General features: G+C 50.5%; 2 annotated features.

Moving 5' to 3' along the window:
• Window positions 5113-5688: an enhancer, noted in NCBI's record as "H3K4me1 hESC enhancer chr3:46950549-46951124 (GRCh37/hg19 assembly coordinates)". NCBI's record gives its function as "activates a minimal SCP1, AML or CMV promoter by ChIP-STARR-seq in primed H9 embryonic stem cells {active_cell/tissue: H9 hESC(primed)}" and the evidence as "EXISTENCE:reporter gene assay evidence [ECO:0000049][PMID:30033119]".
• Window positions 5673-5967: an enhancer, noted in NCBI's record as "tiled region #5172; HepG2 Activating DNase unmatched - State 8:EnhW, and K562 Activating DNase matched - State 8:EnhW". NCBI's record gives its function as "activates a minimal TATA promoter and a strong SV40 promoter by Sharpr-MPRA in HepG2 and K562 cells {active_cell/tissue: HepG2 | K562}" and the evidence as "EXISTENCE:reporter gene assay evidence [ECO:0000049][PMID:27701403]".

Consider the following 13428-nt stretch of genomic DNA (forward strand, 5'->3'; position numbering starts at 1 on the left):
GTATCCAGCAGAAAGGGCCCAGAGTGGCTCAAGTCTGCAGGGGTCACACAGCAGCCAAGTGGACCCATGTGGAAATCCAGCCTCAGCCTCCGTTGCTGCCAGCTGTGGAGCTGCTCTCCACACTTGTACCTAGACCCCATGGGGGACCCAGGCTCCTCTGGGCCAACTCTTCTGACTGCTGCCCCCATCACTGCCACCCAGGGCTGCTGGCAGATCCCTCGGGTCCCTGGCCACACCCCCAAGCCTACGGCCCTGCCACAGAATGGACCTTTCCTGGCTGTCCAGTGGCCACTCAGGGAGCCCTCCACGCAGGAGCCTTAGCATCCACCCGTGACCTGACATGCCTCTGTGACTGAGGTTGCAGTAGGAGCACCAGGCCAGCAGGTGAAGGGTGGGCTGGGTCCCTGCTCTGGCTCAGGACTTGTGGGGAGCCAGGAGTCTGAGCCCAGAGGGCTGGCTGGGCAGGGGCCTGCAAGGTGGGACACATCCATTCACTATGCATCTGGGACAGTCACTAAGTGTCCTCACCTGACACCCACCTACCACCTTACTCACCCCCCCGGACCGTGCCCTCTCCCACCTTGGGCCATTCGTGGGCCCCAGAGTGGCACAGAGCCCCTCAGCCCGACACCCTGAGGACTGACCCTACAGCATGCCCACCCCGGGCTCTGGCCTGAACGAGCTTCTTGCTCTTGCTCCAGCCTAAAGACAGCCCCGCACGAGCCCTGCCCTGCCTTCCCATCTCCCGCTCAGCCCGTCTTACTCTTCTCCACGGACTCGGCATCCAGGAGTGCACCTCATCTCCAGCAGCCCACACACACCCCATAGGGCATAGGGGAGGGGTCAGGAGGCCCAAGACAAAAAACTCAGGTGGGCGTTAGGAGGTGTGGGTGCCTGCTGAGCAGCCCCACACCCAGCCCTGCCTGCCCTTCCAGATGACGGACAGGACCAAAGGCTGTCCAAGGGCCTGGTGCACCCGTGGAGCTCCATGCAATGGTTGAGGGAGGCATAGGCCAGTCTTGAAGGGCTGCAGAGCCAGGCTGGGAGCCACTGGAAGTTCAAGAGGGAGAGCAACAAGGTCTGAATGTTTAAAAAGTCCCCACAGCAATGTGGAGACGAGAGGAGGCTGCACAGGGGTTGGAGAAGAGGTGGCCTGGCAGGAGGCGGGTGGCCTCGCAGGGAGATGGTGACAGGGAGGGCAGCAAGAGTTAGCTGGGGGAAGGAGACCTCAGCAGGGCAGACCCTCATCCTCCTCCCCAGGGATGTCCGATGCCACTCTCTAGGGTCTGAACTGAGGTTTCTGAAGTAATAAGCCAATGAGGCCCACTCACCTAGAAGCATTCAGACTGGGCACCCCGCAACAGGGCTGTGGCTTCCCCCTCAGACTGGGTGCCCCCCCAGGTGGAGGTGGGCCTCTCCTCTCAGATTGGATTCCCTCTAGGACAGGGTTTGGTCTCTTCCTACAACCAGGGAGCCCCAATCCCCACCCACACCCCAGGACAGGGCTGTGTCTCCCCACTCAGTCTGAGTACCCCAAGGTCAGGGCTGAGCCTCTGTCTCAGGCAGGGTGCCCCCCAGGGCAGAGGTGCGCCTCTCCTCTGCCCTACTGGGTCACCCCAAGACAGGGCTGTCACCCCCATTAGACTTGTCTCCATCTTCCCTTTAGATGGAACTCCCCTCCAGATAGGGCTGTCCTTCCCCTTTGAACTAATGCCCCCAGGACATACTGGGTACCCCCATCTCAGGTTTGGTGTCCCCAGGCCAGGGCCGGGCATCCCACACCAGCTGGATGCCTCTAAGAGGAGGACTGCCCTGCCCTGAGGATATCTGCACCCAGGGCAGTGCCAGGCCTCCCCCTTTAGACTAGGCACCATTTTTCCCCTCAGTCTGGATGTCCAAGACAGAACTGGACCTCTCACCTCAGTCCAAGTCCCCTAGGCTAGGACCAGTTCTCTTCCCTTAGACTAGGAGCCCCCAGGCCAGGGCTGGCCTCCACTCAGAGAGGCCTCAGAGCCCCACCTGGGCCATCCAGGTATTGGCAGTGGAAGTGGAGCCCTCAGCAGGCCTGGCAGGCAGGCAGGACCCTGTTTGCCTTGAGCAGGGGCTGGATCCAGGTGGTCACTTCTCCCTTCAAGGCCCCACAGCAAAGCCAAGCCACAGGGAACACGTAAACATTAGCAGAGCTGGGCGGGGTGGTCAGCAGGGTGGAGGGCACCTAGAGACCCCAAATCCTCAGCCCACTTGGCTATGGGATCCGGCACCTTGCAGGCTGCCCCAGACTCCAAGGCAGGCCAGTACAGTGGCCAGTTTCTGCTCCCACCTGTCTTGAGCACGTGGACGGCCCCATCCCTCGCTGGCCTGTCTCCCTCAGCCCAGGCTGCGAGAAGAATCGCTGAAGGCCCTTGGAAGGAATGGACCTCCCGGGGGTGCTCGTCCAGCCCTGGAACACAGGCCTAGCCTCAAGGGGAAGCTGAGTGGATGCAAAGCTCCCAGCTCAGAATAGGGTCGAGCTCTGCCACCCACCACCTGCCAGTCCCTGTCGAGAGCAAGGACTGAGCTGGGCCCCAAGTGCCTGGAGTGGGCAGGCTCTGAGGGGCCACAATCTTCAGCCCTCACCCTGGGAGGTGGCCAGAGGGGGTGTGGACAGACAGGAAAGGGGGCTGAGTTCTCTGGAGGTTCAAGAGGGACATGACCCTGCCCCTCCCTCCCTGGGATCTGGGAGGACACAGCCCTGCTCTGGGGGTCTGAGGGGACATGGACCCATCCTGGGGATCTGAGAGTGCATTGTCTCTGCGTGGATTCCTGGAAGAGCTGTCTGGCTGCAGGGACCCGTTGCGGGGGGCTGGGGTGAGGGGGTACAACTCTCTGTCCCTGGTTCCTCCTCAGCCAACTCCAGGAGAATGATCCCAGCCCAAGGCTGCCATGGCCAACTGAAACAAACCTTGCCTGAGGGACTGGTCCCACTGGCTGGGAGGGACAGAGGAGGAAGTTACTCCAGAGCTAGGCAGGGGCCTGAGCCCTGGCTGGCTCCAGGTGTGTGCTGTGTGGCTCTGGGCAAGCCACCTTCCCTCTCTGAGCCTCAACTTCTCTTCACAGGTCAAGCCCCTGCTCAGGCTTCATGACCTGAGTGGACTCAGGATCCTACCTCGCTCCTCAACAAGGATAGGGACAGGACCCCTATCCTTCCCTCAGGCAGGCGTGACAGCCTAAGGACCTCCCCCTTAGCCTCAAATATGTCTATTTGTGTATGTCTGTGTGTGTATTTATATGTGTGTGTCTGTGTGTATGTCTATTTGCATGTGTATTTGTTGTCTATGTGTATTTGTGTGTGTCTATTTGTATGTGTCTGTGTACTTGTGTGTATGACCGGCTCCTTCCCTCTTCAGTGCCACGGGCATGCAGGCAATGGAGGCCAGGTGAGGGTGGATTCTTCTTGCTCCAGCGTTTTTAACAGGCAGGGCAGGAGCAGCCTTGGCATGGCCCGGACACTGGCGCTTGCCCGGAGGCCACAGTCAGACAACCTGTCCACAACAAACTCATATCCATACATCAGCAAGACAGTGGGGCGTGTTGGGTGTCATTCTCCATGTGCGAGCGTTTGTATGCGCGTGCTGCTTGTGTATTTCTTTGTGTTTGTGTACACGAGTGTCCATGTGCCTATCTATGTGTGTCTGTGCTTGTGTACCTGTGTGTGTGTGTGTGTGTGTGTGGCCATGTGTGTTTCTATGTGTGTGTGTCTGGATATGCCTGTATGTCCATTTGTATGTGTCTGTGTCTTCTGGCATGTCTATGCGTGTGTGGTTGTAGGTTTGTGTACCAGTGTGTCTATGTGTGTATTTGTGTGTGTGTGTGCATTTGTATGTCTATTTGTGTATTTCTGTATGTGTGTCTATTTGTGTGTGTGTATCTGTGTCTATTTGTATATCTGTCTGTTATGTGTATGTGTGTGTGTGTATGTGTCTATGTTTCTGTGCTGGTGTACGTATGTCTATCTGTGTGTATTTATATGTATTGTGTATGTCTGTGTATGTGTATTTGTGTATTTGTGTAAATATGTGTGTCTGTATATGTCTATTTGTGTATGTCTGTGTGTGTATTTATGTGTGTGTATGTCTATTTGCATGTGTATTTGTTGTCTATGTGTATTTGTGTGTGTCTATTTGTATGTGTCTATTTGTGTGTATGTCTCTGTGTGTGTCTATTTGTGTGTGTCTGTGTATTTGTGTATGTCTCTCTGTGTGTGTCTATTTGTGTATGTCTCTACGTGTGTATGTGTGTCTATTTGTATGTGTCTGTGTGTTTATGTGTGTATGTCTCTGTGTGTGTGTGTCTATTTGTGTGTGTGTGGACTCGTGGTCTAAGAACGCCGCCTGTGGGTGGAATTTGGCTCATAGACATGTTTGGTTTGGCACCTACAGTATTTTCAACATCCTGAGCCAACATTTAAAAATCAGGATATTTCACATAAAAATTCAGCTTTCCAACTTCTCTTAAAAATTCAGAAGCCCTGGCAGCCCTGGGCCTGCGTTCCCCTGAGGCCACGCTCCTCCCGAACTGTGCAGGGCTGCCCTCCTCCGTGCACCCTCCATAGCCTCGCCCACTTGTCTCGCCCAGCAGTGTCTTGAGGATGGCTGAGTTTGTGAACCCAGTGTGTGGTCACAACTACGTGTGAGCCTGGCTGTCAGGGAATACGTGCATGAGTGGGGTGTGTGTGCATGTGTGTGAATGTGTGTGTGCATGTGCAAAGCAACTCTGTGTATGAGGCAAACCTGAGTGTGTGCGGTGCGTGTGAATGCCTGCATGTGCGCGTGCGTGTGTGAAGAGTCTGCGTGGGGGAACACGTGTGTAAAGGCATGGATGTGCACGTGTGTGTGCAGGGGAGTGGCCATATTTGTGGCTGTGTGGAGTGTGTGGGCCACAGCGGACTGGCATGCTCTGCCCAGGGGCCTCTTCCGGTCTTTGAGGGGGAATTGGATTCCCGGCTTCTGGCTGGGCCGCCTTGCGGGATTTATTTCTGTCTCAGTGCCCACTGGAGTCCTGAGTAATGGGAACATTTAAAGAAAACCAGTAAATAGATACAGAAGGGGCAGGCTGGCTGGGAAACTCAGCCCAGACACCCCTGCCCAGCCCACAGCTGCCAGAGCCCCTGGGGGCAGGCCTGAGCCCAGGGAGAAAGGAGCTCCAGCATGCGACAGCACCCCCTCACTCTGTGGGGTGCCCACTGCTACCCATGCATGCCCCCACCACCTGGATGGATGGTCCCTGGGTCAACACTGGGCATCTTGAGAGCTTCCTTGGCTCCGAGCAGCAGATGTTCAGGAGATTCAGGGGATGCCAGCTCAGGCCTGGCCCAGGGGCCAAGAGGACCTGACCCTCCAGGGGTGCCCTTTCCCAGCCAGGCTACAGGCATTCTGCCCACACACACCCTCTGCACATGCAGACGCACCCACAGTTCAAGGAGGGGAGAGGCTGTGCTGACCTGGCAGGGCTGGGCGGGCACTCGATACCCCACCCGGACCTCACACACCCGGCAGTGCCTTGGAACCTCATCTGCCAGGACACGGCCCCTGCTGTTCTGGGTCTCAGGCTGACTGGACCCCACTCTCTGGATCGTCTCTGATGAGCAGTCACTTACAAATGACATAAACCCCACAGGAAAGGATAGGCGTGCGTCATGCGGTGGGGTGACCTGCTTTACAGAAGACCCGCTGCTGGCAGGAGCTGTTTGGACCAACGCGCCCTGTCAGGGACCCCATCGGGGATCTCCTGCTGCCCCCCAGTGGCCATGGGAGGACATGGGGAAATAAAAGTCAACAGCTGCATGGAGTTGCTCATCCGCGTCTGAGTGGACTCTGAGGGCCCCACGTGGTTCCCAGCCAGACAGTTATGGGGAAGCAAGGCCTTTCAACTGGTCTGAGGGAAGGGGCTTGGATCCCAGCACAGATCTGGAGACCACCTGGAAGGTCAGCTCCTCGAAGGCAGAACCATCGTCAGTCACAGCTGCATCCCCGGATACAGTGCCCAGCATGACATGGGTCCTCGGGAAGCATGCTACACTAATGGCCCACTCCCCAGGCTCCTGGGGGTGGGCAGCGCTGTAGCAAGCCCTGGGCCCAGCTCAGAGCCCCATGGAGAGGCCGCCTGAAGGTGAGCGGGCATCTCACATGTTGAAGCCTCCAAGGCAGTGAGGGGCTTGGGCTTGAGGCTGGACAGTAGTTTTCCCTTGTGACTTCAGGGGTTGTGCCTATCTCTGATCCCAAGCCCATAGTTCCTCACTGTGGTTACAAGGCCCTGTCCTGGCTGGTGACCTGCCTGGTCCCTGACTCTGCAAGCCCAGGTGGGACTTCCTCCCAGCCCTCTTGCTGCCTCCCCAGCAAGAGTCAGAACCGAGAGGCCCTGCGCCTGGGTCTCTGGTCTCCTGTCCTCTTCTAGGGAAGGAGCATCCGTGCTGCTGTGGAAAATATCCCAGGCCTGACACCTCTCCCAAGATGAAGAGGCTGGGTGTCCTAGAGAACCCCAAGATGAAGGGACCTGAACACTGCGAGGTTGGTCAGGGCTGTCCTGGAGAAGTGCCTGGGCAGTGATGGACCAGGCAGTGGCAGGCACACCAGGGCTCCATCCACAGTGCTGGACACTGGCCCCTGGCCCTCGCTGGCCCATCTTAAGCCTGAAGGGCTTACGACAAAGGGGCTGCCAGGGCCTCAGGGCACCCTCCCCACCTAGCCCTCCAACCAAGGCTAGGGCTGAGACTTTTTTTTTCTTTACCAAATTTTCAGGGGACTATGAATCACTGAGACTAACTCTGAACTATCCTCACCTGGATGAAGACTGTAGTCCACACCCCAGAATGTTTGTTTTAAATGGAGAAAGCATACTTTAAAGAAACACACATTTTAGTAACATGTTTTACCAGTTTCTTTGCTCACCACCTGTATTTTTTAAACCTTTTTATTTTGAAATACGGATTCATAGGAAGTTTTGTTTTTGTTTTTGTTTTTGTTTTTGTTTTTATACAGAGTCTTACTCTGTTGCCCAGGCTGGAGTGCAGGGGCACGATCTCGGCTCACTGCAACCTCTGCCATCAGGATTAAAGTGATTCTCGGGCCTCAGCCTCCCAACTAGCTGGGATTACAGGCGTGCGCCACCATGTCCAGCTAATTTTTGTTTTTTTTAGTAGAGATGGGGTTTCACCATGTGGGCCGGGCTGGTCTTGAACTTCCGACCTCAGGTGATCCGCCCACCTCAGCCTCGTAAATTGCTGGGATTACAGGCATGAGCCACTGCACCCAGCCGATAGGAAGTTTAAAAGTACAGAGAAGTCCTGTGTAACATTCACCCAGTTTCCACCTGGTTACATTTTCCATAGCTGCAGTACAATATCGAAACCAGGAATCTGACATTGGTGCAGTGTGTATAGTTCTATTCCATTTCATCGGGTGCATAGATACAGGTAACCACCACCACAATCAAGATACACAGAGGTATTCCATCACAACCATTCCAGAGATCTCCTTGGAGCCACCCCCTTTAGAGTCACCTGTCCCCACCATCGCTAACCCCTGGCAACCACTAATCTGTTCCCCATCTCTATAATTCTGTCACTGTCAGAATGTTACAGAAGTGGAACCATACAGTATGTGACCATTTGATACCTACTGTTTTCACTCACCATAATGCCCTTGAGATCCATCCAAGCTGTGGCAGGTGTCAGTCCTTGGTCCTGTTTTATTGCTGAGTTGCATTCCATGGTACGGATGAACCCGAGCTTAACCTGTCCCCTATTGACAAGACCTTTTCCCTAGCCTTTGGCAACCTACAAATAAAGCTGCTATGAACATCTGTATATGCATTTTTGTGTAAACATTCGTTTTTATTTCTCTGGGATAAATGCCCAGGAGCATGACTACTGGGCTATATGATAAGTGTACGTAAAGTTTTTAAAGAAATGGACAAACTATTTTCCAGAGTGGGTGTTCCATTATACATTCCCACCTACAATGTATGAGATTCAATTTTTCCACTTTCTTGTCAGCGTTTATCACTATTTTTATTTGTTCGAATACGTGTGTAAAGATATTGTGGGCCAGGCGCGGTGGCTTACGCCTGTAATCCCAGCACTTTGGGAGACCAAGGCAGGTGGATCACGAGGTCAGGAGATCGAGACCATCCTGGCTAACGGTGAAACCCCATCTCTACTAAAAATACAAAAAATTAGCCGGGCGTGGTGGCAGGCGGCTGTAGTCCCAGCTACTCAGGAGGCTGAGGCAGGAGAATGGCGTGAACCAGGAGAATGGCGTGAACCAGGAGGCGGAGCTTGCAGTGAGCCGAGATCGCGCCATTGCACTCCAGCCTGGGCGACAGAGCGAGACTCCGTCTCAAAAAAAAAAAGATATTGTGATCTTTACTGGTATATCCGTAATGGCTCGTAATGTTGAACATCTTTACCATCTGTATATCCTCTTCAGTGAAATATTTCTTTATGTCTTTTGCCCACTTTCTAATTGTTTTTTTGTTTGTTTTGTTTTGTCTTACCGTTGAGTTTGGGAGTTCTTTATGTATTCTTGATATAAGTCCTTCTTTATTTGATTTGCAAATATTTTGTTTGTAGCTTTTCATTCTCTTAACAGGGTCTTCGTTGGAGCAAAAACTTTTAAGTCAAATTTATCAATTTTTTTCTTTATGGATTGTGCTTTTGATCTCAGGTCCAAGAACTCTTGACTGAGCTGTAGGTCCTGAAGGTTTTCTCGTTTACTTCTAAAATTGCATAGTTTTACATTTTACATTTAAGTCCACAGTACAGTTTGAGTTAATTTTGTATAAGATCTGAGGTTCAGGCTTGGGTTTTTTTGTTTGCTTTTTTGCCTATGAATTTCCCTTTGCTCCAGCACCATTTGTTGAAGACTGTCCTTCCTCCAATCAATTTGTTTTGCACCTTTGTCAAAAATCAGTTGGTCAGCCTGGGCAACAAGGCGAAACCCCATCTCTACCGAAAATACAAAAAGTAGCCAGGTGTGATGGTACACACCTGTAGTCCCAGCTACTCAGGAGGCTGAGGTGGGAGGATCGCTTGAGTCCGGGAGGTTGAGGCTGCAGAGAGCTGAGATCTCCCCACTGCACTCCAACCTGGGTAGAGTAGAGCAAGACCCTGTGCCCTGTGTCTCAAACAAACAAACAAACAAAAAAAAAAAAGTTGGCTGTGCTTGTGTATTGTCTTGTTGATCTGCCTCTTTTTCCACCAACACCACAATCTTGACTGCTATTACTGTAAAGTAAGCCCACAATAGGTAGTGAAATGAGTAGTATTCCTTACGCTTTTTTCTTCTAGTTAAAAATTGTTCAGCTATTCCAGTTCCTTTGCCTTTCCATATACATTTTAGAATAATCTTTATATCCAGAAAAAAAATAACTGGGCTTTTGGTAATAGTTACATTAAACCTATCAATACTCCATTGAAACACCTGGGCTTGGAGGTTTTTCAAGGCTTTAAAATAATAAATTCAATTTCCTTAATAGTTATAGAGCTATTTAAATTATCTATTTCATCTTGGCTGAGGTGTGGTATTTGTGCTTTTCAAAAAACTGGCCCCTTTGAACAACCTGTGGAATTGATGTGGGTACAGTTATTGACAGTGTCCTCTTCCTGTCCTTCTGATGTCTGTGGAGTATGATGCCCTTATTTCATTGCTGATATTCGTAATTTGACTTCTCTTTTCTGTCAGTCTTCCTAGAGGCTCATCAATGGTATCCGTCTTTCCAGCGTTTGCCAGTCTCTTTGCACACCACTCTTCCCTGCACCCTGTAGCTCACTGCTGGCTGCATTCCCAGGATCTTCTACCTTCCTCAGACAGTCTCAATTCATTGGCAAAGTGCCCAGCTTAAAACACCCATATCCGGTGCCTTCACGGCTGCTGACACAGTCATGGCCAATGCGAAGTGAAGACAGGTCTGTGGACAGGGTTGGAGCCAGGGTTTCCTCAGCTGGCCTGCCCTTCGCCCTTCTCCTCCTAACGGTACCTCGAATCTGTGATGGGGCAGAAGCTCCCATGAGGAGATGAGGATGGCAACTGGGGAGACAGAAGGGACTCACATCCCTGGTGGCCTCAGGGAGCCATGGTACCACCTTGGACTTAACACAAGACAATAAAACCCCTTCTTGCTTAAGCCCAGTCGTGGGTGACTGCCAAACAGTCCCGATTCCCATATCCACTCCCCGCTCCCGGACTGGTTTTTGCTCAGCATCCCATCCTTTAGTTCTTTCAGCAAAGATCAGTACATGGTAAACACTTAGTGTCATAAGCTTGGAAACGTCTGTCATGCCCCTACTTATGGTAACTGAGCAGACTTGACATTTGTTTCCTGAGCACTTAGGAAAACTGTCTTCTGGTATCTATTGTTGATGAAAAGCGAAACTAATTCCTTTGTAGGTAATCTCTTAAAATTTTTACATGTAGCCTGTTGTTATTTTTTCCCTTTAGCTTCGATGTTCTCATCTAGAACACTGGAGTCAAACTGCAGATGTAGTAAAACTGCTCTTAAAAAAAAAGAAAAAATAGGCTGGGCACGGTGGCTCATGCCTATAATCTGAGCACTTTGGGAGGGTGAGGCGGGAGGATCGCTTGAGGTCAGTTTGAGACCAGCCTGGCCAAAATGGTGAAACCCTGTCTCTACTAAAAATATTTAAAAAATGGCGCGGGCTCACGCCTGTAATCCCAGCACTTTGGGAGGCCGAGGCGGGCGGATCACGAGGTCAAGAGATACAGACCATCCTGGGCAACATGATGAAACCCCCTCTCTACTAAAAATACAAAAATTAGCTGGGCATGGTGGCGTGTGCCCATAGTCCCAGCTACTCAGGAGTCTGAGGCAGGAGAATCTCTTGAACCCAGGAGGCGGAGGTTGCAGTGAGCCAAGACCGCACCACTGCACTCCAGCGTGCCGACAGAGCAAGACTTCATCACAAAAAAAAAAAAAAAATTAGGCACGGTAGCACACAGCCACAGTCCCAGCTACTTGAGAGGCTGAGGTTGGAGAGCTGCTTGAGCCCGGGAGGCGAAGGTTGCAGTGAGCTGAGATCGTGCCACTGCACTCCAGCCTGGGTGACAGAGAATCCATCTCTAAATAAAGATAGATAGATGATAGATAGATAGATAGATAGATAGATAGATAGATAGATAGATAGATAGAAAAAAAAATAAGCCTGTGTGTTGAAATACAGCATATACAGCAAGTTGTATAAAAATAAATACATATAGAGAATAAATTCCCATCACTCAAGCCAAGAAAAACACTTTGCCATTATCTCAAAGGGCCCCACTCCAGAGCTAACTACAAGCCTGAAGTTGACGATCACCACCTTGCTCTTCTGCCCTGGCCTTACCACCTGCGTGTGTCCTTACATTGTCTCACTCCGCCTGTTTGGAACGTCACACAAATGGCTCATACTCTATTTCTTCCGTGACTTGCTTCTTTCAACATCTATCCATTTGTTGCACATGACTGTAGCTCTTCTCACAGCTATGGAACATCACACTTTCAGAATGACAACTTATTATTACCACATTCTGGCTTTGATTTAGTGTGTGTGTGCACACATGTGCCCGTGCTATTACAAACAATGCTTCTACAAGCATTTCTGTCCCTGTCTCCTGGTGTACATGTGCAAGTTTTCTAGTGCACTAAGAGCGCAACTGATGGGTCCCAGCGTGCACATGTTCAACTTTCCCAACGTGGTTACACATTTCACACTCTTATGGCTGTGGGTGAGAGGTCCCACTGCTCCACAGTACAGTGGTGTAGCTAATGACACTTCTGAAAGTCTCCCTTGCCTGGCCTCACTCCTGCCACCTCCACTTTCTTTTGTTGATCCTGTGCTTGATAGAGCTTTTCTAGTCCCATTAATCTTTGTTTCTATTAATTTATGAGGCAGGGTCTCACTCTGTCGCTCAGAACTCCCAGGCTCACATGATCTCCCACCTCAGCCTCCCAAGTAGCTGCGACTACAGGCAGGCACCACCCCGCCTGGCTAATTTTTTTATTTTTTATTTTTGTAGAAGACGGAGTTTCACCATTTTGCCCAGACTGGTCTTGAACTCCTGGGCTCAAGCAATCTGCCTGAGACTCGAGCAAATTCAGCCTTCTCAAGTGCTGGGATTACAGGCATGAGCCACTGCACCCAGTCGGCTTCAGGTTTTTTTAAACTCAGCAAACTGAGTTTAAAGGAAAAAAAAAAAGAAAGAAAAGCAGTCTAATACCTTGCTATTACTGATATATCTGGATTCAACTACTCAATCCACCTTTTCTCTCTGCTTTCTTTTGGATAGTTACTTTTTTCCCATTCTGGTTTTTTTTTTTTTTTTTCCTCTCTCATCTCCTCTGAAAGTGGTACACTCTGTTTCTACTCTTTTCAGGTTACCCCAGAAATGTCAAGAGGCCTGTTTCCTAGTCTTATCCCTCTTCCTAAGTGAGCGTCTTCAAGGACTGTAACCCCAACCACCTCCTACCTCTGAACTTACATACCATTGTTGTTATGTATTCTAAATAGCCCCTGCTTTACCCCACAACACATTTTTGTTTTACAAGGTCAGTGCTTATTTACATTTATACTTCCTTTCTCTGGACTTTCCATCTGGGATTGTGCCCCTCAGTCTGAAAATATCCTTTATGATTTTTTTAAAAGGAGAATGCTTATTTCATTTTTAAAAAACAACTTTATACATATACAGCCCACCCATTAAAGTGTACAATTCAATGGCTCTTGGCATATTCAGCATATTCACAGATTTGTGCAACCACAATCACTTTTAGAACATTTTCATTACCCCAAAATAGATTTTCATTTAGTGAGAGTCTGCTGGTGACAGAATCCCTGACTTCGTTGGTCTAAAAACATCTTAGGCCAGGTGCGGTGGCTCAGGCCTGTAATCCCAGCACTTTGGGAGGCCAAGGTGGGCAGATCACTTGAGTTCAGGAGTTCAAGATCAGCCTGGGCAAAATAGTGAGACCCCATCTCTGCAAAAAAACAAAAAACACGTCTCATATTTTCCCTGAGTATGCAATTCTAGGATGACAACTTTCTTTCATTCCTGTTTACACTGGTTATAGCTGAGATATCTGCTGCTATGTTGCTCCTCAAAAGGTAGTATGTCCTTTCTCTCTGATTTTAAGGTATTTTCTTGGTCTTTGTGCTCTTTAATGTTATTACAATGTGATTAGGTATGTGGTAGTTTTTAAATAAGTCCACAAATTCTTACACAGTCCTCCCTTCAGGAAGTGGAAGCTAATTCTTCTAAGTGTCGACTGGGCGTAGTGACTTGCTTCTAACAAACAGAATGTAGCAGAATATCACTTCCAAGCCCAGATCATAAGAAAGCCCCACAACGCTCCCTCCTGCCTTCTTTCTTAGACTGCCACTCTGGGAAAGCCACCTGC

Source organism: Homo sapiens, chromosome 3 (genome assembly GCF_000001405.40).
Source record: "Homo sapiens chromosome 3, GRCh38.p14 Primary Assembly".
In the NCBI taxonomy this organism is placed as follows: Eukaryota; Metazoa; Chordata; class Mammalia; order Primates; family Hominidae; genus Homo; species Homo sapiens.